General features: G+C 37.9%; 1 protein-coding gene across 2 annotated transcripts in view, besides 1 other annotated feature; it reads left to right on the forward strand.

Annotated features, from left to right (window-relative positions):
- Positions 1–26,831, forward strand: part of UTRN (utrophin) — a 567,700-nt gene that overhangs the window by 419,687 nt on the left and 121,182 nt on the right. For both annotated transcript variants that reach the window (NM_007124.3, NM_001375323.1), the window contains one exon: positions 25,336–25,465. In NM_007124.3, coding sequence (NP_009055.2) covers positions 25,336–25,465 — 130 coding nt within the window. The remainder of the gene's footprint in view (positions 1–25,335; positions 25,466–26,831) is intronic.
- Positions 18,524–18,623: an enhancer, noted in NCBI's record as "active region_25222". NCBI's record gives its function as "activates an Ori minimal core promoter by ATAC-STARR-seq in GM12878 lymphoblastoid cells {active_cell/tissue: GM12878}" and the evidence as "EXISTENCE:reporter gene assay evidence [ECO:0000049][PMID:35858748]".

Raw genomic sequence — 26,831 nt, forward strand, 5'->3', positions numbered from 1 at the left:
TTTGCTGTTGCTTTGTGAGTAAAGGTTTGAAAGTCCAGTGTCACATTTTTTAATGTGAGACACAAGATCTGTAATGTAGATAATCTACTGTGAATTGTGTGTGGCCATGGGTTTTAGGGTGCACTGGAGGCAGGTAAGGAGGGTTGTTGGCTCCTCATAGGTGTGATAATTTGGGTTAGAGGTGTGAGTGAGGTACTGGTAGTAGAAAAGGCACTGAGCTAGAATGAGAATACTTTTATTTAAAGGCTGGCTCTGTCACTGATGACCTGGGTGACCCTGAAAAAGTCATTTGACTTACCCAAGCTTCAGTGTATGGAAATAAGTAGTATCTTAGTTCCTTTGGGCTGCAGTAACAAAATACTATAAACTGGGTGGCTTATAAACAATAGAAATTTATTTCTTACAGTTCTGAAGGCGGAGAAGTTCAAGATCAGTGCACTAGTAGATTTGGTGTCTGCCAAGGGCCCACTGTCTGGTTCATGGATGATGTCATCTCACTGTGTCCTCCCATAGTGGAAGGTAGTCTTTTATATGATACTGATCCCATTGATGACAGCTCCTCACTCATGCCCTAATCACCTTCCAAAGACCCACCTCCCAATACCATCACTATGGGAGTTAGGATTTCAACCTGTAAATTTTGGTGACACATAGACATTCAAACTGTAGCAAGTAGTTCCATTTCTACACAGAATTGTTCTGACAATCAAATGAAATAGTGGAAATGAAAGTAATTTAGGAAAAGTAAAGTGCTGAAGGGCAGTATATAATTTTATTTAATTATGTATATTCTGTCAAAAGCAACCTTCTTTACCAATTGCCAAGAGTAATGTTTTAAAATTACGTTACTATAAATATTATATAAAATATATATAATTAACATTAATTCATACTAATATAAATCTACATTATTACAGTTAGGGCTAATGATTATGCATTTGTAGATTTAGAGCAATATTTAAAGAAGTGTGGTACCTACCCGTAATTATTTATCTTACTGAACATCATCAGTCATAATTATCGAATAGTCTAAGCATAGTTTAACCTTAGCCTTGCATCCAAGAATTCCCTTCCTAAGAGTTTATTTAATAGTTTTTGGCCAGTGTTCGAACATAAACCTAAGTCTCTAACTTATCCTGAGTCTTTTCTTGAAATCAAAATCTCTTATGGGTGTGTAAGAGATTGCTCTATATTTCAGGGCAGCTTTTTTTTTTTTTAAGTCCTTGAAAATGTCCTTTTCCTCTGCTGTCATATTCCATTGATCAGGAAAAGTCTTTATTTAGTGTATATTCATGTATAATTTAGAATTGTCAATTACTGGACTGAAAGAACCCTAAGAAATAAGAGTCCAGTCCTCTTATTTACGGTAGAGGAACATGAGAGGCACAGTGTAGTTTAAGCAAACCTGAGTTTTCATCCCTCCTTCCCTCTCTTACTTTCATTTACTTACTATATGCCTGGCAGTTTATTTTATTTTTTAAGGAAAAATAACTTTATTTTGAAAAAAAATCAATTCTCTATTTAAAGCATACATGAGACAGCATCTTTCATTTAGTCCTAAACTTGATTACGTATTCTCATTATAATATTCCAATGACATTCTGCAAATACATTTCAAGTATGTCATCATATACTTATTGGTAAATATCAAACAAAGCTACTGACTGTGAGGGAAAATTTTCCGTAATTTTTTTTACCTACCCAGAGATACTCATCCCACTGTATATCTGGGATTTTTATGAACATTTACAAATTTTAACAAAATTCTTTTTTTTCCCATTGCATGCATCAATATGCTAAATTCTCCACTACAATCCAGGTAAAATACTGATAGTGTGTGAAAACCCAGTGTATTTTCTAATACTGCCCATGATAGACAGAGTGAAATTACAGCATAAAGAGTAGCCAGGAACCTATACTGTAAACATTATTTGGCTCCAAGTATCTTGCAACAAATAGCTACTAATAGGACTATACATAGCACATAGAGCACAGCAATCCTGGATTGTAGTATGCCTGTAAAACCCTTTAAAGCATTTTTTCTCAACCTTTTTATCATTACCCTCCTTTTCAATTACAAAAATTAAATTCAAATTAAATTAAATAGCTTTAACTATAAATTTCTTCCTAATGAGAGAAATTAATACAAAAGATTTTGTTGGGTAGGCTGATTTTGGAAGGTCACAATCCATATCTAAGATTTTTTTCACCCCAAGAACCAATTTTTGTTCCCAGTTGAGAATGTAAGGGTTAAAGTTGATGAAATAAATTAAATAGCCTTTAACATTATTAGAGAGAAAAAAACCTAATGGGTAACAATGGAGATTGAGATAGTTGACTTCTAGACCATCTCTGTTCCATACTTGCTGTATGATCAGGGAAGAAATCATGTCTCTTTATTTTGTTGTTTGGGAGAACACAGGAATAGCATAAAACCTAATAGCTTGGAAAAATCACTTAATCTCACTGGACTCAGTGAGGCTATTAATTGAAAGAATTGGTATAGATCAGTTGTTTTCAATTCTGGCTGCACTTTCCTAGGACATATAAAAGATATCAATGCTCAGTTATATTTACCCAGGCCAATTAAGCCAGTCTCTGGAGGATATGGGCTCAACCTATAGTGTAAATCAGAATCACCTGATGGGCTTGTTAAGCCACAGATTGGTAGGCCCCACTTTCAGAGCTTCTGATTCAGCAGGTTTTGGGTGGGGCCTGCAAATGTGCATTATCAAGTTCTCAGGTAATGTTATGCTATTAGTCTATTGACCACACTTTGAGAACTGCTGGACTAGGCATTTGTGTAAGAGTGAATGTGTGTGTGTGGTGTGTGTCCCCAGGTGACTTCTAATCTCAAAACTATTCGTATAGAAAATTTCAATAAGGTTCTTTTAAGTTCTAGGATACTCAGATTTTAATATAATAAGAGTTGTTAAACATCAAGATGGCTTATAAAAGGAGACCTATGGACAAATATCAACTTCTTGGTCAATTTTCATTAAAAACTCGTTTCTTAAAGCTTTTTACAGTATTTTTTTGAAAATTAACTTTTTTTTTTTTTAGCTGCATATATGGGTCTTCACTTCACTTTTCAGTAAAGATAACTTATTTGGTTATCAGTGTCTGATCATTTGATAAGACCAATGGAAGGTTTGGATAGTAGCCAGTTATTTTTGAATTGCTTGAAGAGAATCTTGTAAATTTGTAGTCCAGAGGTAATTCTGCGATTGCTTCAATACTTGGAATTGCAATAGAGTTGTAAGTACTGATTCTTTTACAAGACCATGTATAAACCAAGAAGTCTTCTGTATTTTCCAGTCCCAAAACTGAATCGATAAAAAAGAGTGCCATTTTTTAGATAAAGTGTTTAGAGGCTTTGCCTTTGGCCTCTCATATTTTCCTTTCTTCTCTAGAGGCTCTGACTCCTCGGGCCTCTGACTCCTCACGCCTTCATCCCCTCTGAGTTCTTCTAGGATCTAAGACACCAGAGAGGTCCTGGTATAGAAAAAAACACAGTCCCTGTTTACATGAAATTTACATTCAAGGGAGATCCTCTGCTTATCCTTAAACTTAGAGTTCCTGTTCTCTGTGTTTTGAGAAATCATTTCCCAAAAGGTTATGGCTGAGCTGTGAACTGCGCATTGTTATCCCAAATCTCAGGTTGTCTTTGCCCAGTCATCCACTTCTGTAACCCCAACTTTTCTCCCTTGGTGTTTTAGTCTGTCTTTTGCTGCTGTAACAGAATGTCAGGGACTGAGTCATTTATAAGGAAGAGAGATTTATTTGGCTCACACTTTTGGAGGCTGGGCTCACAGTTCCAGAGGCGGGGAAGTTCAAATCAAGGGCCTGTATCTGATGAGGGTCTTCCTGCTGTGTCATCCAATGGTGGAAAGCACAAAGGCAAGAGAGCGTTCATGACAGAGAGGAGATGGAAGCTGAACTTATCCTTTGAGCCCACTCCTGCTATAACTAACCCACTCCCACTGTGATAATGACATTAGTCCATTCATGAAGGTCAAACCCTCATGACCTAATCACCGCTTAAAGGCTGCTCCTCTTAATATCAGCACAGTGTCACTTAAATTTCATCTTGAGTTTTGGAGGGGACATTCAAACCATAGTACTTCGTTGCAATTCGGGCAAGCTTTTAGTTCATGTACCCATTTATTTCCAATCTCTTCTTTAAGGGAATACAGAACTCTTTTCAATTATAACATTATGATGTAGCTTTAAACAGAACATAAAATAACTTTTAAAACCAATTTTTTCAGATATGTTTTAGCTTACTGAAATAAAGTTGCTTCTCTTTTCATTTAGTCTTGTCTATTATTATAAATTCTGTTAGTATTTTTTCTGATCTCCTACTTTTTAGGTCTTTTCCTTTTTGTAATAAAGTTTAAAAATCTTTTTAGCTACAAAGAACTCTTGTCTTACAGCTCAAAAGTACATAATTAGAATCAATCAAGATCAACCCTCAGATGGCTTGATACTAATATTAGCCAAGGTTTTTTATTCCCTAAAAGTTCCCATAGAAAGAAAGGGACCTTGTACTTGATTTCTAATTCATTCTCTAATCTTAAGGTAATAGTTTGAATTACTTTATTTCAAGCAACACAATACTGATTAATTTGACGTAAACTCTCACTGCTAATTTAAGATGTCTAAAGAATATCAGATGGAATTTTGTGAAGAGACAAAGAACTTAACACTAATTTAATTATTCCAAAAGGTATGATCTCATAAATGCAAGTTTTGAATACCACTATATACAACCTTTATTTAGGGGTTGATTTATAGAAACTCATATATTCTGAGTCTTCTGATTCCGAACTATCTTTATATATTCTAGTCCTTTATATGTACATAAATGATTTAATGACTCCTTTTCAAAGTTACTCTTTGATAATAGTGGTGCCAATCATTTCATTCCCCATCCATCCACCCACCTATCCACACTATTCACCAAATGTCTTAATGTTAAAGTTGATGCTTCTGTACGAAGAGCAATAAGGTATAGCCTCTGCACCTCAGTGATATATTTTAATAATTCCTATTACTAAAAGCCCTGTGCTTGTGGTTTGTTGGCTGTATCCAGAGGGAATACTTTACATTTAAATGTTTAGGTGATGGCTCTGAGATTTCGCCTTAGAATAGGGATATAAAGCAATGCTTTAAAGCATCTCCTATGTTCAAACACCTAGCGGTTATAGATCAAATATAAAAAACAGAAAACCAAACATGGCATTGTGGGCTCCAAAACATGACAATCATTCTACAGGCCAGAAACAAAGCAGAAAAGCAAACTAGCTAGTGATGTTGATGCTGCTGGAAAAATGTAGCAGACCCTAGTGATGAGCAGGCAGGAAGCCCCATAGCAAAGACTCAGCTCAAAACCCTTCTCTTACACACAGAAATGAGTGATTCACAGATTGGCATCCTTTCCTTCCGTAGTGTAAATGCCCCAGGCACTGCTATTATGAAACTTCAGTGTATTGTTGATCCTTAATTAAATGTGCGTACTTTCTTGGGTGTTTTAATCAGTGTCTCAGAACATTGATATATTTTCAGCAACATCAATAATAAATACTTTGTTCAGTGCTTCAACAATACATAAACATTTGAGACCTGGGGCCTAGCACATAGTAAACACTCAGTAAAAGGTGGCTGATATCTTTTCCCATAATTGTTGGGAGTCTTTTCTGATAGTTTTGATCATTTTTATTTTGTTTAAAACTATATAGGCTACATGAGCAGTTTTAACTAAATAAAACTGTATTAATACCTGTTATTTACCACCTAGTATAACCCAACAGAACTAGCTTTCAATTACTATCTAGATTAACCCGTCAAATTAGACAAGGGTCACCTTATAGTCTTTGCAAGTATCAGTTTGGTAAACAGCACACTCATTATTTTTTTCGTGTAAGTACATGTTTAATTCCCTCAAATGTTAACATAAATTGCTACTTAAAAAATATGTAGTGTTTTAAGGACTGTTTTAAAATAAATGGATAGGCTAGGCACTGTGGCTCATACCTGTAATCCCAGCACTTTGGGAAGCCGAGGCGGGTGGATCACTTGAGGCCAGGAGTTCTAGATTAGGCTGGCCAACATGGTGAAACCTCATCTCTGCTAAAAATATAAAAATTAGGTGTGGTGGCGGGTGCCTATCATCTCAGCTACTTGTTGGAGACTGAGGCAGTAGAATCGCTTGAACCCAGGGGGCGGAGGTTGCAGTGAACCAAGATCACACCTCTGCACTCCAGCCTGGCAACAGATTGAGACTCCCGTCTCAAAACAAACAAACAAACAAAAAAAAAAAAGCAGCTTACTAATAAATAATAAAATAAATGGGTAAAGTTGAATCTTCCCATCTAATGACTTCAATCGAATTTTTAGAATCATTTTTGAAGTTTTGAAGAAGCTGAGGTCACTTATATGCAACTTCCCTTTCAAGAATGTGAGCTTATCATTCAGTCAACAATTACCTATAATGCACCTACAATGTATATAGTGTTTGTAATGTTATGGATTTACTCTAACCAAATGCTCTTGAGTGGATAAAATTGCAGATGCAGATTTTACTGTACAATTTGCACTTCATTTTCATAACAATGTAAATATTAAGTTATGTAGGAGCAATTATCAGAGCTCTAATACCCTTTCTCCAATAGAATGCATATTTGATGTTAGAAAAGCAAATCTAGAATAATTGAAAGTGCATGATTCAGGTATAATTTCTTGTTTGTGTGTTCTTTCCCTCAGGGCTACTCTGGCCTTTGCTTAACCCAGTTTATTTCCTATATTCAAGCTTTATTATATAAGACTCAGAACATATCTGGCCTTAAGCTGAATTGCCAAGAAACATTAGCAAACTTGCTCATTAAAATAACAAATTCTAACATTGTCTTTAAAACAACAACACCCTACTGTTAAATTTAGGCTGTGTGTGTGTGTGTGTCTGTGCACACGTAGGTGTGGTAGAATTTTTTTTCCCTACTAAAGTAATCGGAGACTCTGCCTGAAATTCTGTAATTTTGAGGTCTTGTTGTGTTAGAAGGTTGCCTACAGTGGGAAACTTGTCTTTTTCTGAAATTAAAAAAAATTATTTTCCAAGTTCCTCTCCAACCTTTGCCAGTCTGTGTTGACTTACTCCTTATTAAACGCTCAGCTCTTTAAGGCCCATTAGTCAAGCTGTTACTTGTGTGCAGGCCTGAAGCAGCAGTTCTGTCAGTGAGCCTGCACCTACCTGCAACACCCCATTTGGTTGTCTGCACCTGGACTTGTCTCCTAATCATAATATGTAATATTGCAACTTTACCCCAAAGGGCCATAGAATGTCCATGTTTAGAGGGAGAGGTGAGACAGCCTAATAGGTGTCACTCTCTGGTGGTAAAATTAAGAGTGGATCACAAATGTAGGCAAGAAACAGAGGCCTGTAAAACCAATGAACCCTTTTGCAAAACAATCATTTTACTGCCTCTGCACATATTTAGCCCAGAGATAATTTATTTTATCTAGCAGTTCATATATTCACTCAGGTTGAAACTTCTATATTGTACCTGATGTTTGCTGCATACTTTGCTAGGTGCCAAGCATGCATGAGTTTGTAAGACTATTTTTGCAATCATGGAGCTCACTTCACTCTCTAGCAGTGATGCAGGCTTGAAAACAAGTACTACAGTAGATATTAAAAGTGCTGTAATACAGGCATGGACACACAGCCAAGGAGACATGAATCACGATTATTTGTGCTTGGGAAGATTGGGAAAGGCTCCACAGAGCAAGATGCTTTTGAGCTGAAAGATGCCTTGGAATAAGTAAGAAATCACTAAAGGTGTTACCAAAATGCTTTAGGGAGAAAATCCTCCAAATTAGCCATGGCATGTTTTGGAGTATGCAGTAGAGTAAGGGGTGCTGCTTACCTCCTTTTGTGATGATACTTAGAATAAGACTGAAAGAAGAAAATACAAGTTCAGCACCTAATCCAGTGCCACATTAGAATAGGTACTAATTGAGGATCCCTTAGTGAAATATTTGGGACCAAAAGTATTTAGATTTCAGATTTTTTCATATTTTCGAATATTTGCATTACACTTACCAGGTGACCATCCCTAATCAGAAAATCTGAAATTCAAAATGCTCCTAAGAGCATTTCCTTTGAGTAACAATATTGACACTCAGAAATGTTTGGATTTTGGTGTATTTTAGATTTTGGATTAGAGATACTCAACCTGTATTGCATATATTAGCTGGATGAAGGAATACATTTATGTGTGCATGTATTTTAAAGAGTACAGGGGGCCGGGTGCAGTGGCTCATGCCTGTAATCTTAGCACTTTGGGAGGCTGATGTGAGTGGATCACCTGAGGTCAGGAGTTCAAGACCAGCCTGACCAACATGGTGAAACCCCATCTCTACTAAAAAAAAAAAATCAAAAAAATCAGCTGGGTGTGGTGGTGTATACCTGTAATCCCAGCTACTTGGGAGGCTGAGGCAGGAGAATCGCTTGAACCTGGGAGGTGGAGGTTGCAGTGAGCCAAGATCACAGCATTGTACTCCAGCCTGGGCAACAAGAGCGAAACTCTGTCTCAAAAAAAAAAATAAATAAATAAAAAGCAGGGTGCAGTGGCTCATGCCTGTAATCCCAGCACTTTGGGAGGCTGAGGTGGGTGGATCACCTGAGGTCAGGAATTCTAGACCAGCCTGACCAACATGGAGAAACCCCGTCTCTACTAAAAATACAAAATTTGTCAGGCATAGCGGCACATGCCTGTAATCCCAGCTACTCGGGAGGCTGAGGCAGGAGAATCGCTTGAACCCGGGAGGAGGAGGTTGCGGTGAGCCGAGATCGCGCCATTGCACTCCAGCCTGGGAAACAAGAGTGAAACTCTGTCTCAAAAAAAAAAAAAAAAAAGTACAGGGAAGGATACTATTTTATTACTATGAAAAGCAAAAGAATTTCTGTCTCATTTTTAACATTGATATTTGGTATTCTGATTCAGGCATTATTTTTTATGTCACTGGGGTGGAACCAAAATGAATTTTGTATATTAACTGCTCATTGAGGGATGTTAACCAAAACTTTCAAGGCACTATGTAGGAGATTTTTTTTTAAATTTTGTCTGCATACCAACGGAAAGTAAGCCTGTTTTCTGTCTCCTTTTTCATGTAGTTTTATTAGTGCTATCAAATTTAATGAGTGCTCTGCCCTTTTTTGCTGTCATTCTGTAATGACTTCAGATCCATATATGCTGATTTAGCTTTGAAAGCAAGTTGGGAAAAGAGTAAATTACATTCTAGCAGATTTGTCTCATGTTTGCATCATTTATTTTTTTCTGCTTATATTCTCCAGTAAGCAGTTAACTGCTTTTTTGAAACCAAAAGCTAAAGAAGCCTGCTGTACCAGCAATACCTCTATTTGTTATAATTCAGCTACCCTGCATTTAGGGCCAGCTTCTCAGGTGTCCCATGCAGTCACACAGGGCTCTGCTCTTACAAGGTTTCTGCACTTGGCTTAATGTTCTTCTGCTGCCATCTTGAGATTCTTAGTAATATTTGGACAAGGGGCCCTGTTACACTGAGGTCTGCAATCACATAGCCAGACCTGCTTGCATTGCGAAGAACATTAACATATATATTCTGACACATGTAACACAATATTGAATGCCTCTTAAAACTTGCTTCAAGCATCTTTCCATCTCCTTAGGTAAGGAAGCCATCCTGAGCCCCACTCTGAGTTACATGCCCCTTGTTGTAATTTGTGATGTCTCTGTTTGTTAGTGTTGGCTGAGCTTTGACTAGGGGTTCATTCCAAGACCTCACCTTTCCTGCTGACTTATTAACTGTTCCTCGGACTCTACTTGACTTCTAGAACACCGCACTCTCCTGATGTTTTTCTTACGTCACTGGTAGCTCTTTCTCAGTTTCCCTTCCTGGTTCTTCCTTCTCTCCCCTGTCTTCTAAAATTGGGATGTGTCACTTGTCAGGCCATGTCACCTTCTCTGTATTCACTCCTTCTTGGGTTTAAAAATGCCATCTATATGCCAAGCACTCCCAAAGATATATCCGTTTACATGTCATCTCTACTTGAGTGTGTAATAAACACCTCACAGTTAATATGACCAAACTGGCTTCCTGAATTGGCCCCTATAACATGTTCTACCCAGCGTTCTGCATTTCAGTTGGTAGGAATATTATTTCAGTTGCTTAGGTAACAAATAATAATCACCTTTAGTCCTGCCTTTCTCTCATTTTCAGTCTGTTAGGAAATCCTGTTGGTTCTCTGTTCAAAATATAGAATCTGAATCTACCACCTGTGACACTCCTCTGTCTCTGGAAGTATCAGTCCAGCAACCAGAGTGTTCCTATTAAAATAAATCAAACTCTGTAGGGGCTTCCTAACTTATTCAGAGGAAAAGCCACAGCTCTCGGAATGGTCTGCAAGGCCCTGCCTGATCTGACCTACCCCCTACTCACACCTTGCTCATTTCCTCTCTTGCTGTTTTTTCTCTGACACACTGGTTTCGGCCACACTGGTCCCTTGCTGAGCTTTCAGTCACAGTGCCAGCCTGTCTGCTCTGCCCAAAATGCCCCTTCTTTACTCAACTTCTCTACTTGAACTGCAGCTCCCTCTGAGCACTCCTTCTCTCTCTCTCATTCTCTCTCTCTTCCCCCCCCACCCTTTTCTACTTCTTTCTTTTTCTATAGCATTTATCAGAATCTAACACAATGACTTATTTTCTATGTCTTTTTTTTTTTTTTGCTTGGTACTCTGGATGCTCGATAAAAGTTGAATGTTGACTGAAAGAGCTATACCCAAGGGAACATGTCCTTTGGTGTGAATGTTCCTTTTGTCTCTTTATTTCTCAGTAATTCTTTTTTATTCATTTGCGTTCTAAAGAATATTACATTTTGAAAATATTCCTACTTTAAATAGCCAAATGTTTAATAAAGGTAATAACTGAAATAGAAGTGTAAGCAATAATCTTGTCTCGAGAGCTAGAAATCATTTCAGTTACATGACATATTTGAAATGTAAGCAAATTAAATAACACAATGGCACTTTATGCCTTGATATTGTAGTCAGTTCAGAGGTTATCTTTTCTCTATCTTAATACTGCCTAAATTTTCAACTCAAGAATGGGAAAGATTTTTATTTAAGGGAAAATGAATTGGCATACCTTTAATTGTTGAGATAGCTTTTAAAATATAGCTTTTTTTTTTTTTTAGCTGTATGTGCTGGATATTGCTAGATTCTTCCAGTGTTTGTGCTTCTCTCTGTTGTAGGAATTTGATACCTTTGAATGCTAGTTGAGTTGAGATTCTTAACAAATGCAGGGAGAAGCTTAAACATGTGGAGTCTCTCATTCAGTGACTATGTTGTCATGCATTATATTTTATAAATAAATATAGCCCCAAGTCATTGAAGCAAAATATAAAGGGAAAGTTTTATAATTGTTACAAATACAAAAAATGGGCTTCTAAACACATTTGTAATTCTTCATAATGCTGTTCTTTGAAAGCAGTAATTTATTCAATGCTAAATGAGCTCAATTCTAGTGGGCATTCCTTTCTTAAAAGTATAATTTTTAATTATGAAAATAATAACATATTACAGAGTTTATGAAATAAAGAATAAAAACATGGCCATAATTTTATCACCATAACAACCCTTTTCATTTTGCATTATTTCCTTTTTGCATATTTACCTTTTGCATAGTTTTACTTGGGTGCAGAGTTTTTATGTCATCTTTTTCACTTAGATACATGTCATGCCTATTTCTTCACATTGCTATGTGGTCATTATCACAATAACTTTTCAAGGTTGCATAATGGCCTCTATTGTGGCCATATCATAGAACCTAAATATATTCCAGGTGTTGGAGATTTAAGTTTCTTTCAATTTTTTAAAAATCATAAATAATGTTATAATGAACACTTTTGTGTTCGTAGCTTTTCTGGATCATTTTCTTAGGATATATTCCCAAAAGTGAAATTCCTGTTTCACACAATATGACCATAGTAATGACTTTTGATATATTGCCAGCCTACTTTCCCAAATGATCAAACCAATTTTTTGCCTCCAGCAATGTGTGAAAGTGAAGCTTTACCATACCCTGGCCTGTGATTTCTCATTTTTGTTCTATTATTAGTGATCCTTGTATTGTTAGCAGTAAAATACTAGTACTTCATAGATGTATAGAAATTTAGAAAACAGTTTTGGAATATCAGACACCTGAGTCAAGGTTCTCTCCACAAAGAGGAAGAGGAGAACTGGTTTGATGTTTGGGTTAGTCATGCCTAGAAGGATAGGAGAAAAGCTCTCCATGGCTTGTTAAACACATTAGTTGAAGAAATTTATATTTGTCTGAAATTAGTGTGTGTGATGTCATCTAGCTGACCATTTATACCTCCTTAGAGAATTGTTTTGCCCTTTTATTCTGGAAGAAACCGGTTCACAAAAAAACCGCTGCATTTATTTCTTTGCTTTCTAAGAATCTAAACTGATATGAGTCTTGCAACACAGTTTTCTGCTTATGAAATATTTTGGCTTTATCTTGGAGAATCACATAATTCCATTTTTTTCTTTTTCTTTTTCTTTTCTTTTTTCTTTTTTTTTTTTTTTTTTTGAGACAGAGTCTCGCCCAGTTGCCCAGGCTGGACTGCAATGGCTCGATCTCGGCTCACTGCAACCTCCGCCTCCCGGGTCCAAATGACTCTCCTGCCTCAGCCTCCCAAGTAGCTGGGATTACAGGTGCCTGCCACCACACCCAGCTAATTTTTGTATTTTTAGTAGAGACGGGGATTTCACCATGTTGATCAGGCTGGTCTCGAACTCCTGACCTCATGATCCACCCGCCTCAGCCTCCCAAAGTGCTGGTACTACAGGCATGAGCCACTGTGCCCAGCCTGAGCCACTGCACCTGGCCCATTTTTTTCATAATTAAATAATTTATCCCTTAGAAGAGTTAAGTCATCTACTTTCAGATGTTCCTGCAAACGGAGGGCTTTGTTCTGGCATTGGTCAACCAAAGCTCTAGGTAAAATGGCTAGAACCTTCCTCTACAAGTAAGAGTGAATAGAGGCTTTGGAAAGAAATTCAGTCTGAGACAAGAGCTGAGAAACATGGTAGAATTTTAGATTAGCATGATTTTAATAGTAATGGGCTGGGAGTGGTGCTCACACCTGTAATCCCAGTACTTTGGGAGGAAAAGTCAGGAGGATCACTTGAGGCCAGGAGTTCAAGACTGGCCTGGTCAACATAGCAAGACTCTGTCCCTATTTAAAAAAAAATTAATTAGCCTGGTATGGTGGCATGCAACTGTAGTTTAGCTACTTAAGAGGCTGAGGCAGAAAGATCACTTGAGCCCGGAAGTTCAAGGCTGCAGTGAGCTTTGATGGTGTACCAGCTTGGGCAACAGAGTGAGACCCTGTCTCTTAAAAAAAGTAATTTTTTATTCTACAGCACTGAATAGTTTCAAAATATCTTTTCATTCACTGTCTCACCAGTGAAGTTAGTAAAATGAGAGAGATGATTAACACGCAGAGAATTTAAGGGACAAACCCAAGTAAGGGCCCATGAGCACAGGATGAGTAAGGGTGTGCCTGTGTGGTATGGACTGGACTGTACCTAAGGCTTTGGCTGCAAATCTTTGTCTGGTTTTACTTTACCACAGAACAGTATTTTTAACATCTCCTCCTTCATTCATACAAAAATTTATTGGCTTTCCGCTATACCTGCTCTGGCACAAATTTCAGCCTTCCATGAGGGCTCAGTCTGGCACCAGAGTCAGGTTTGCAAAGAGGCCATGGTGAGGGAGTGTGGTGAATGCTGGATCCCCGTGAGGGAAGGCTGCAGCTCATGCTGGTGGTGCAGGTGGCACTGGAGCCGGATCCCTGAAGGGTCAAAAGGGGTGAGCCCTGTGGATTTCTTTGACTTTCACCAGTGAGGGTCAATGAGATTGTTAAGAAAGCAAAACAACACAGATGTTGTCTTGAGATAATAATGTCTTCTATGGGGGCTGGAAGGGGAAGACTACTTCCTTCTACTGCAGAGTTGCTCCATGCTGCTTTCTTCCACAGACCTACTTTGTATGAAATGCTCCCATTTCTCAGGTGTTTTCCTTCCTTGATCCCCTTCTAACAATGGCCTCCTGAGGTTCCACATTTTCTTTTATGCCAGTTTATTCATTTTCTCATTCATTAATCCAAAAGATATACTGAGTGCTAGAATCTAATGAGAAAGAGCAGAGCTATTGAAAATTTGAAGCAAGGCCAGGCTCAGTGGCTCATGCCTGTGATCATAGCACTTTGGGAGGCCGAGGAAGGCGGATCACCTGAGGTCAGGAATTCGAGACCAGCCTGACCATGGAGAAACCCCATCTCTACTAAAAATATAAAAAATTATCTGGGCGTGGTGACACCTGCCTGTAATCCCAGCTACTCAGGAGGCTAAGGCAGGAGAATCGCTTGAACCCAGGAGGCGGAGGTTGTGGTGAGCCGAAATGGCGCCATTGCACTCAACGCTGGGCAACAAGAACGAAACTCCATCTCAAAAACAGAAAGAAAGAAAGAAAATTTGAAGCAAAAGCCTTCTGAATTGCAAAGACCATGAGGAGGAAATAGCTTGGCATGTTCTCGGAACAGAAATAAGGACTTTGAAGCTAGAAATGAGGGTGTATTAGGAGATGACATCAGACAGCAGGGAGGGTCCAGACCTTGGTAGGAAGTTTAGAATTTATTCTAAGTGCAACAGGAAGCCATGGGAGGAGGGTTTTAAACAGAAGACAGGATCTGATTTATCTATCATTTTAATTTTGTAATTTAGAAAATTTTAAGAAAAGTGCATGTTAGCAAAGTTTGGTGCTTGATACACGGACAATTTGGATAATGGCTTTAGATTGAAGAAAGGTTAGGAAAGAGTTGCTATTTAAAGAAGGGGGGTGACCCCAGGATTTATTTCACACCCACATGTTTGCTTTTCTCTGTTCTTAGCTCAGTCCATATGACCAACTGCTAGTTTAGGAGAGAAGGGTTTAGCAGGGATTCCCCTCTTCCCTCCAATTCTCTTAGACCCTGTTTTCTTATTAAAAGATTTGCAGGATCCCATCTCGGTCAGTGATGTCAGCAACCCAGCCATTATGGTGAGCTGATGCCATGCTCATGAAGAAAATGAAGATCAGCTGATTGACTTCCAAGTATTTCTGCCCTAAGCCACGCCAATCACTTCTTTATACCGTCTTATCTTTTAATCTCTTGTCTTTCTCACTAAGTTGTAGCAGGTGGGAGAAATGTTCCAAGACCATTAAAGGAGGATAATTGGGAATCTCTGTATAGACATTTAAAGTTGAATAAGCAGCAGTTTATTCGGCTGCCTGGTGCTCAGAGGCACACCAGTAGCATCCAAAGAGCACCCTGAGTTCGAAGGAGTCGGAGAGGTGGGACAGGAGGAAGGGTGTCTTCAATAAAGTGAATTCAGGCTCTTAGACATTCTGTTGAGAATGGAAACTGTGATTTTTAGTAGCTACATTCTGATATTTACAATCAGGTCTTCATTAATCTGCCATTTCACGGCTTCATTTAGTTTAAGTAAGTATGTGGAAGGTACACAATCGGACAAGCCATGAGAGACTACATTACCTTCAATGTGTTTATTCTATCTGTTTTCTTGAGTTGCTTTCCACCTTATTACCTCTAAGCTAGTTACAATTTTTTTTCAACACACAGCTCATGTGTGTTTGAGAAGGTTGACCTCCCTCCCTCCTCTGTGTATTTATTCATAATGAGGCTCCTTGGTACCCCGTGTGTACCTCTTTCAGAGATTTGTGGCACTTAACCACGTTCTGGGCTAGTATTGTTCTCTCTTCCCCTTTATACTATAAGTTTCTCAAAGATTGAGTTTATAGCTGATTTTTGCCTTCTCTTATGCCTAACGTATTTTTATATATTGTATATATTTGTACTTTAAAATTTTTATTTTGGTGGAAATCTTTGTTGAAAAATCTATTATATACTTTAATGCCACCTAAGGATGGGAGAAAATTTGAATGTTTTCTTTTGGACACAAGATAATCATTGTGCTCTCCAGTTGTTATTTTTGACTCTTGAGGTATTTGGGATTATATCTCCTTCTACTAAACACCTCAGAGCATGCGACTTCTAAAACATGATTTCAGTATTCCCTTTGTTGCTGTTGTTGTTGTTTTGAGACAGTGTCTTGCTCCGTCGCCTAGGCTGGAATGCAGTGGCACCATCATAGCTCACTGTAGCCTCAAACTCCTGGAGCCAAGCAGTCCTGCCTCAGCCTCCTGAGCAGCTGAGACTATAGGTGCATGCCACAATGCCTGGCTAATTTTTGTTGTTGTTATTGAGACGGGGTCTAGCTATGTTGCCCAGGCTGGTGTCAAATTTCTGGCCTCAAGCAATCCTCCTGCCTTGGCCTCCCAAAGTGCTGGGATTACAGTTATGAGCCACCACAGCCAGCCTCAGTTTTCCTTTTTGAAATTATTTTGTATCTTCCTACTTATTCTAACTGATGCTGGTCTATTGCTTGGAGGCCAAAACTTCACTTTATACAATTTGTCTGGGAGGGGAATTGAAGGTCTTTTCACATATCTACTACAGGCTGAGCATCCTTTGTGTAAAATTCTTGGGATCAGAAGTGTTTCAAAATTCAGTTTTTGGGATTTTGGAATATTTGTGTATCCATAATGAGATATCTTGTGAATGAGAACCAAGTGTAAACATGAAATTCATTTGTTTCAGATATACCTTAGACACATAGCCTGAAGGTAATTTTATACAATACTTAAATAATTTCATGCACTAAAGTTTGTATACATTTGAACCATCAGAAAGCAAGAGTATCAGGTGTGGAATCATTTCAGCACTCAAGTTTCAGATTTTGGAGCATTTCAGATTTGGGATTTTCAGATTAGGGATGCTCAACCTGTAGAATGCAAAATACATAAGCTTTGTGACAGGTTGTCATGTAAGAGCACTTTTAGCTCAATGGCCAAGCCTTGAGCCAGCAAGTAGCCAGATATCTGCTGCATAGAGAAGTATGTGGTTGCTAGGTGTCTCTCCCATCAACCACAAGGACTCTTTCCCTAACTTCCTTGATAGAAAACATTTTAACAGAAGCAATCACCCTCATTCTTCACTCACTCAGCTCTGAGAGCACCAATCTCTAAGCTAGGCATGCACTTGCCTCAGAGCCTTTGCACTTTCCATTTTCTCTGCCTAGATTGCTCTTTTGCCAGATATTCTCATGCCTTGCTCCCTCACTTCCCTCCGGTTTTTTTTTTTAAATATCGCTGTCTTTCAGATGCCTTCCCTGACCACTTACACAAAATATTACCAACCCTCATCTTCAACCCACCATCCTCTCCCACTCATCCTGTGTGGTAGATTTTTATAGTAATGAATCATGCCTCCCTGTGTCCACACTCCTATGCAGAGGGAAATTTTTGCTCTTTTCATCAAAAGATAAAGTACATTTTTCCATTCTCTTGAATCTGTTCTGGCTTCATGACATGCTTCAAACAATAGACTGTGACACCGTGATGTGCAAACTCTAGAGCTTTGCTGTGTAACATAGGAACCCTTAGACATATGTAACCATTTGTATTTAAATCACAATTAGATAAAATTTAAAATTTAGTTCCTCAGCTGTACTAGTCATATTTCAGATACTAAATAAACATATGTGACTAGCAGGTACCATATTGGAGAGCAATTAGAGACGACATAGGGAGAAACTGAGGTACCCCAGACAATAGGCAGTGATGATTTCCAGACATGTGAGTGAGGCTGTTTTGTCCCGCCCTCCCCATCCAAGCTGCAGGATGACTATAACCTCACTAGTAATCCCAGGTGGTACCAGCCAAAGAACAGGTCAAATTGCCAACCCACACAATCATGAAAAATAATTGTCATTGTTTTAAGCTATAAGTTTTATATAGGTTTGATACACAGTCATGATAATGGAAACACCCTTCAATTCTAATGACTGACAGTAATTTGGAAACCATGCCCTAAGGGGTTACCTCATGGGTGAGAATGTCACAAAATGAGGAAGACAGAGTGAATCCATACCATCCATGACAGTCAGATCAGTTCCTTATTTATCTAAAAAGAGAAAAGGATATTTGCTATTACTAAAATAAAAACCAACTGCAGACTGAAATACTTATTAATAGCACAGACTTAGTTTTACATCAAAAAATTACTACCAGCAATTTGCAAAGTAGATAATTTAAAAATACAGAACTAACTGAAATCCATTATTTCAGTTTAAGATGAACAGATTGGGTGACTTTGTTATATCTTGCTCTGACATGTTTTGTAACATTAAATACATAGTATTTAATTCTGAGAGCATTTCTCCCATAATTTATTATGCTCAAGCATTTATTGAGTGCTTTCTATATATGTCTAGGCAGGTACAGTAGAGGATTTCAGATGATTAAGACCTGAACCTTACCATGCAAGAACTCACAATTTAATGGAGGGGACAGATGCATGGTCAAAATATATGCACATTAACACAGTACAAGCTCTGTTAGAGGAATAGGAAGTGCTCTAGAAACACTGAGGTGGGAGCAGCCATCTTGTTATTGCACATACTGAACACACAGAATGAGCTCTTACTTTGCATATGCATTGGGGATAAAGACTAGAAAAGAAACAAATTAGGCTGGGTGCAGTGGCTTACATCTGTAATCCCAGCACTTTGGGAGGCCAAGGTGGGTGGATTGCCCAAGCTCAGGAGTTCAAAACCACCCTGGGCAACATGGTGAAACCCTGTTTCTACAAAAACGTATGTAAAAAAAAAATTGGCCAGGCATGGTGGTGCATGCCTGTAATCCCAGCTACTTGGGAGGCTAAGGCGGCAGAATTGCTTGAGCCCGGGAGGCAGAGGTTGCAGTGAGCCAAGATCATGCCACTGCACTCCAGCTTGGGCGACAGAGTGAGACTCCATCTCAAAAAAAAAAAAAAAAAAAAGAAAGAAAAAAAAGAAACAAATTACCTAGAGAATTGTTTTGTGTAAAAAACAGAATTATTGTTTTATTTTAATAATAACCTTGTTGAGATAGTATTCCTGTATCATAATATTTACCCATTTAAAGTGTGCAATTCAGGGGCTTTTAGTATTTTCACAGAGTTGTGCACCATTATTGCTATCTAGATTCATAACTTTTTTTTTTTTTTTTTTTTTTTTGAGATGGAGTCTCGCTCTGTCACCCAGCCTGGAGTGCAGTGGCGCAATCTCAGCCCACTGCAACCTCTGCCTCCCGAGTTCAAGTGATTCTCCTGCCTCAGCCTCCCAAGTAGCTGGGACTACAGGCACCCGCCACCACGCCTGGCTAATTTTTATATTTTTAGTAGAGATGGGGTTTCACCATATTGGCCAGGCTGGTCTTGAACTCCTGACCTTGTGATCCTCCCGCCTCAGCCTCCCAAAGTGCTGGGATTACAGGCATGAGCCACTGCGCCTGGCCCATAACTTTTTTATATTCCAAAAAGAACATCCATACCCATAAGCAGTCACTCCTATCCCTCCCCTCCCTCCCCAGTTCCCCAGCCTTAAGCAACGAGTAATCTACTTTCTGCCTCTCTAGACTTGCCTGTTTGGGACATTGCATGGTAATGGAATCTTACACTATGCCCTTTCATGTCTAGCTTCTTTCAATGAGCATGATTTTAAAATTCTTCCATGTTATAGCACATATCAGTATTTCATTCATTTTTATTACTGAATAAGATGTCATTGTATTATGGATATATCACATTTTGTTTATCCATTCAGCAGTTGATGGATATTTGGGTTGTGTCCATCTTTTGGCTATTATGAATAAGGCTACTATAAACATTCATGTATGAGTGTTTATGTGGACATGTTTTTCTTTTTCTTCGGTATATACCTATGTGTAGAATTGCTGGGTCATGTTGACAACTCTGTGTTTAGCATTTTGAGGACATGCCAAACTGATTTCCAGAGTGGCTGTGATATGGTTTGGCTCTGTGTCCCCACCCAAATCTCACTGAATTGTAATAATCCCCGCATGTCATGGGAGGGACCCAGTGGGAGGTAATTAAATCATGGGGGCAGGTTTTTCCCATGCTGTTTTTGTGATAGGGAATAAGTCTCACAAGATCTGATGGTTTTATAAAGGAGAGTTCCCCAGCACATGCTGTCTTGCCTCCCGCCATGTAAGACGTCCCTTTGCTCTTCCTTCGTCTTCTGCAATGATTGTGAGGCCTCCCCAGCCATGGGGAACTATGAGTCCATTGAATCTCTTTCCTTTGTAAATTACCCAGTCTCAGGTATGTTTTTACTAGCAGCGTGAGAATGGACTAATACAGGTTGCAATTTTACCATTCCACCAACAAGCATCAAGGTTCCTGTTTCTTCACATCCTCACCAAAAGTTGTTATTATCTGGAACAGAACTGTTTTGAATGAAAATATAAACTCATTAAAACAGAAAAATTCCAATTATATTATGTTATATGCATTTAAGGTGGCCCATATATCAGTCACGTGATATTAGAACTTAAAGCTGAATGCCACTTTGTAGCTCTGTGTACAAAACAGCTCATTGGAGTCTAATGATCTTATCATTAATGTTCACCAGGTGGTTGGGAAATGCAGGTTTTCTTTTATGTCTAATTGAGAGAGTTAAAGTGTGAAATGATTATATGTATAAAACTGTTGAAAGTTAAATCTATTTCTGACATACAATTAAATATAATTGAAATAGGACAAATTGAATAACAAAATTAAATTTACAAAACAGGATATGAATGGAAATTATCATATGTATGCTGCTTTGTAGGATATTTGGGTGGTGCATTGGCATGAGGGCCAGAGCCCTGTATTTGTACTTACTTGGCATGGTTCCCACCTGCCCAGGCTTGCCTCCTGTACTTCCCTACATTGGCATATCAAAGGAGTTCGCGAGACATTCTCCAGCCAGCACCCTGCGCAGAGAGGATTTCTTTTTCTTTTTTTTTTGTTTTCTGAAGCACGGAGTTTAATGTGGTTAGGAAGCAAAATACAATCTAAGACTCAGACTTGCTTTTAATGAATCCAGGAGACCTGACAATGATACATTATAAAAAACAAAAATAAAAATCTGACAATACCCCCCAACTTGTCAGTGGCTTCCCATAGCCCATGATTGGGTTGAGTGAGTCTCAGTGCATAGGAAGCAGTGCAGTGGTCTTTGTGGCCTGACCTCCGCCCACACCTTCAGCTTCAGCTGCTACCGCTCTCTGAGTACTGAAGTTTTTATAGTTCCCTGAGGGCGCACACTGTGACACTCCTGCATTCTCTGCTAGTGTTTAGTTTCCTTTGCTGGGAGTACCTTTCCCTCTCTGCAAGACTCAATTTACGCACCACCTCCCCCAGGAAGCATTACAGATCCCCCAAGGCTCTACTAGGTCCCAGACATGGCATTAGTCTGGGTGCTTTGTTTACCATGCTGAACAAAAACAGAAAAAGTCCCTGGTCTAGTGGAGCTTATATTTTATCTAAGAGAGGGACTAAACAAGAAATATAGAAATGTCACCTCTTTTGCATAGTAGAAGGTGCCAGGTCTAGGAAATACAAAGATAGTTAAGCAGAATAATGAGAATGGGAAATGTAGGGGATGAGAAAGGTGGAATGCTACATTCAATAAGGTAGGTGGGTGGGCCTCACCTTCTAGACAGCCTTAAAAAGGATGAGGGAATCTGTGATATGGCTAAATCTAGGGAAAGAGCTTTCCAGGCAGAGCAAACAGACAGCCAAAGAGATTACTCTATTGTGAGAGTCTCCATGTTAAACAAATAAAATTCCATCCATAAAGGAAGTTGATAGGTTGGTTTTCCAAAGTATCCTTTCTATAGACCAATATGTACATATTTCCATTTCAATTTTTGAAATCTAAAAAGAAGTTCCAAGACAAATCTCTCCTTTGCCCTCTTCCCTCCCCACACCCCTGCACAATGCACATTTTGTGGACTATTAATAGTCTAGAATTCCTAATCAGAAATTACTGTACACCTAAGTTGCACAGATCATATTGTCTTCTTTCTCCAACAAAAGATCTGGATTTGCCTGTAAAATATATGCCCCGTAATAGTTTTATATTTCCAGAGGGCCAGTTCTGCCTCTGCTCTTCCTTCTCTGAGTCATTTGCCTTTATGTCCCGTCTTCTCTCAGTTTTTAATCTTTCCACATTATTGCCTATTGGTGTTTTCTGGTTGATCTTTTGTGCTAAATTCTAAATGCCATTGTGTGAATTCTTCCTCCTATTTGATAAACCAGAGTGAAGACCTGTTCTAAGATCTTCATCTTCTCTTCAGTGGCTTGCATTAAATCTGTACATTCCTGGAACTTCCCCTTCCCCAGGAAGAAATCTAGCACAGGCCTTGCACAGCATTTTAAGAATCTTTACCACTCCTGAGCCAGGCGTGGTGGCCCATGCCTATAATCCCAGCACTTTGGGAGGCCAAGGCGGGCGGATCACAAGGTCAGGAGATCGAGACCATCCTGGCTAACACAGTGAAATGCCATCTCTACTAAAAATACAAAAAAATTAGCCAGACGTGGTGATGGGGCCCTGTAGTCCCAGCTACTCAGGAGGCTGAGGCGGGAGAATGGCGTGAACCCAGGAGGTAGAGGTGAAGGTTACGGTGAGCTGAGATCGCACCACTGCACTCCAGCCTGGGCAACACAGCGAGACTCTGTCTCAAAAAACAAAACAAACAAACAAAAAAACCCAACAAACTACTCCTTGCTGGGTGTGGTGGCTCACAGCTGTAATCCCAGCACTTGGGAGGCCAAGGCAGGTGGATCACCTGAGGTCTGGAGTTTGAGACCAGCCTGGCCAACCATGGCCAACATGGTAAAATCCCATCTCTATTAAAAGTAGAAAAATTAGCTGGGTGCAGTGGCAGGCACCTGTAATCCCAGCTACTTGGGAGGCTGAGGCAGGAGAATCACTTGAACCTGAGAGGCAGAGGTTGCAAGTGAGCCAAGATTATGCCACTTCACTCCAGCCTGGGTGACAGAGTAAGACTCCATCTCAAAAAAAAAAAAAAAAAAGGAATGTTTACTGCTCCCATATTTACTGATTTGATTTGGATTTTGGAAATATCTTGACCACTAAAATTAAAAAAAATAATTTTGCTATATTACCTGCTGGTTTTCACTATTTTTTAAGTAACATGATTTTTCATGTCGTTATTATATATTTTTAGGTGATTATGGAAGTAAATGCTAGGAATATTTTTATTCCTCTAGAGCTTCTTGCTCTAACAACATAATAATCTAAGTTAAAGAACTGGCTCAAGACTTGTAAATGTGTATTTTTTTGGATTAAAAATCTTTTTTTTTCCATTTTTCTTGTATCTCTTTTTATTTCCATATATTAAAACTTTAAGTGCCAGATGTATATAATCTTTTTTTTTTTTTAATTTCCTGAATGTCACACATCCTGCGATTTCTTCACAAGCTGCGTTTGTTAAATAGGAGATGATGGAAGGTTTGTTATCCCCGCCCCCACCCACCAACATAGTCATTTAATGCTCATCAGTGATAATTGCTGTGTGAATTTAGTTGATTTGTGCTTGCTTCGCTGTCAGTCTTTGGTTTTATGGATCTAGGAAGGACATATAAATGTACCTTTGCATTTTAGAGAAAGTTTTATTTTATCCTATATCCTGTGTTACATCACTATATCTTAATTGTGGATTTTTTGGTTCACTTTGCTCGTTCATTTAAATTTTTTATCAAAGTAATAATTGTATAGTTTAAAAATCAAAATAATATTTACAATGCTTACACACAAAAAAATAGCATTTTTGTCACTCCGTCTCTCACTAGTTCTTGTCAGCTCTTCTCATCCCTCCCCACCTGTGAGGGTTAAGCTACACTTTGGTTAGTCCAAGCACACTTTCCAGTATGCTTACCATGTTATGACTTATCTCCTCTATACACGAGTAGGAAAATTATCAGTAATAGTGGTTTCTAGAGTAGTACTTGAGGAGGGTAACGGGTGGCGTGTGCATGCTTCATGGCCTTATTCAATCAAGCACTCTACTCTTGATTTACTGCTAAATCCTCCTTGAATCTTTAGATTTCCTAAAGGCTATCATGAGATTTTCTGGATATAGAAAATGTAGCCCATTAGTCTCTGTCAGCTTCATTACCAGGGTTTTTTTGTGTGTATGTTGCTTAGATCCATATTTTTATATAAGATAATTATTCTGGTATTTCTAGATTTTTTCATTCTTACCTTTTATTGACTATGGAAGAAAAGGATCTAGCCTGCAAATACTGTAGCATCTCAACATAGTGATGTCAAATACTACTAAAAATTTAGTTGTCTTCAAAAGGAAAGATTTTATTCATTCTAACATATAATGAAAGTTCAGTATTTTAGAAAATAAAAGTCTGACTTTTCATAATAGGTTGCCAGGGAACTACACCGAAGGCAAAATACTAGAGCCAGTAGGTGGTTATGTGTTTAATTTTAAGAGGATAACAACATTAACAAATTCCATTTGGCAACAGCGTTAAAATTGCACCTGGGAAAATCTTCATTACTCTTATCTTGCAGCAGTCACTGAAGGAGTTTGGTTGTTTTTATAGGTGCAGGGGTGAAAGTTTAGCTCCACTTCAAGGAACAAAGGTGCTAAAGAGAAACTATTCTGAGAATCATAGATTTGCATGAAAAACCTCACAAAAGAAAAATAGTAATTGCCTCAGCATGAGAGATGGAACATATTTTAAGATAATTGGAGACTGTTTTATATGTGCCCTCATTGGTTTATTTTTGATTTCATGTATGTACTTTGTTTCTATCGCTTCATTTTTTTTTCTTAATGTATTCTAAATAATGTAAAACCCTTCTGAGGATCTTATTGCTACTTGTGAAATTACCTTTCTCTGTATCATTGGATGTAATTTTTTTGTCAGTCAGTCTTACAAGAAAAAAGTATCTTAGCAAAGGCTATTATATTTTATCAATCTGACATCAGTGAAAATCCTAAAAGTACATTTTGTGTAAATTCAAATACACTGTAACAATTTCCCTTAAGTGAATATTTTAAAGCTGTTTCTTTTTTTGTATACTTAACGTTTACAGAAATTATCTTTTTTCCTTTGTATTTTTCTTCATTCATATCTATAAAATTTACATTTTGGCTTCTAACTTAGCTGAAATGCTTGCTATTAGTCATTTTCTTGCTAAGTGTGGTCAGAAGTGGTATAGTTGAAGATGTCCCATAATTTGGTGAACACGTGAGGTTACAAACTCAACTTTTGCTTCTCTTTTGAAAGGCCCTGAGACGGGAGTTAAAGGAGAAAGAATATTCTGTCCTGAATGCTGTCGACCAGGCCCGAGTTTTCTTGGCTGATCAGCCAATTGAGGCCCCTGAAGAGCCAAGAAGAAACCTACAATCAAAAACAGGTGAGACTGGTTTCTCCACTACATCATAAAAACACATGCTAGGAGAACAAAAAACCCAAAATCAAGTAGGAAATTTCCTTACAGCATTTTAGGATCTAATATTTAAATCTTTTCTTCTAAGTGTTACTTTATTCAAATATGTCATTAATTCACAGATATCTAGATTCTTAAATTAAGAAAATAAAATTTTTGTATACCTCAATATCAATTTTAAAGGAAATTAACTGCAGAAAAAATAGATTGTCTAAAAAGTGTACTGTAACTATAAAAGTAATTTCTATAAGAAATAAAAATTTATATTATATTTAAACAAGTTACATGATAAATAATTGCAAGTAGTAGAAAGTTATTAAAATATAATAAATATACAAAATATTTCAAGGTCTATAAGTAAGATTACTTTTGATAATGACACACCAAAGTCCTTTCTTTTACAAGCAGACAACATTTCTTTAATTTAAAAATAATACCCTGTGTGTTTATTTACTTTGGCTTAAAATTTAAATAATAACTACCTTACTAGCAAATTTACTAGCAAAAAATATATATTTCTTATATTTAAACATGTTATGTGATAAATAATTGCAAGTAGAAGACATTTATTAAAATATAATAGTAAATATATAAAATATTTAAATATCTATATGTAAGGTTACTTTTAAAAATGAGAGACCAAATACTTTTCTTTTACAAGCAGACAACATTTGTTTAATTTAAAAATAACCTGTAACATTTATATACTTTAGCTTAAAATTGAAATAGTAACTACCCTACTAACAAATAGCAATATATCACATAGTAAACTTAAGAGAAAATGTGTAATGAATTCTGGGTCCAATATATATCTGTATTGTGATTTTTCACTGCTGACAATAAAATCATTCTGATGCATTTTTAAAAATAAACATGCCATTCAAAATCGTTTTTCATCATTCACTTCACATAGTAACAGCAAACCTGAAAGATTGCCTCATGCTGTGTCCAGCAGTGTAAATCATGAACATTTATTACTTGTAAGGGAAGCATAGTTAGAAAATGCTTTCTTTGACTATAACTGGAACTGGATCAGACATATGGACAGGTAGCCGTTTTCCTACTGAATCTTACTCAAGGAACCTTCTTCAGTCCGAATAAATTTCCCATCAAGACCATAATCTTTTTGACTCTCTGAAACTAGTTGTATATATGTGTGTGTGTATATACACACATGTACACACACACACAGCACACTTAACTTGTCTAGCATTTCTTTTTGTTTTCTGCTGGTGGTAACACTGTCTTTCCAGTTAGCCTCCTACAAAGCTAAGTCATTGTTGAGTCTTCCACTTTTCACCAAATCCAGTGGTCTACAAATCACTCATAATTA

The sequence above is a fragment of the Homo sapiens genome, chromosome 6 (assembly GCF_000001405.40).
Source record: "Homo sapiens chromosome 6, GRCh38.p14 Primary Assembly".
Classification (NCBI taxonomy): Eukaryota; Metazoa; Chordata; class Mammalia; order Primates; family Hominidae; genus Homo; species Homo sapiens.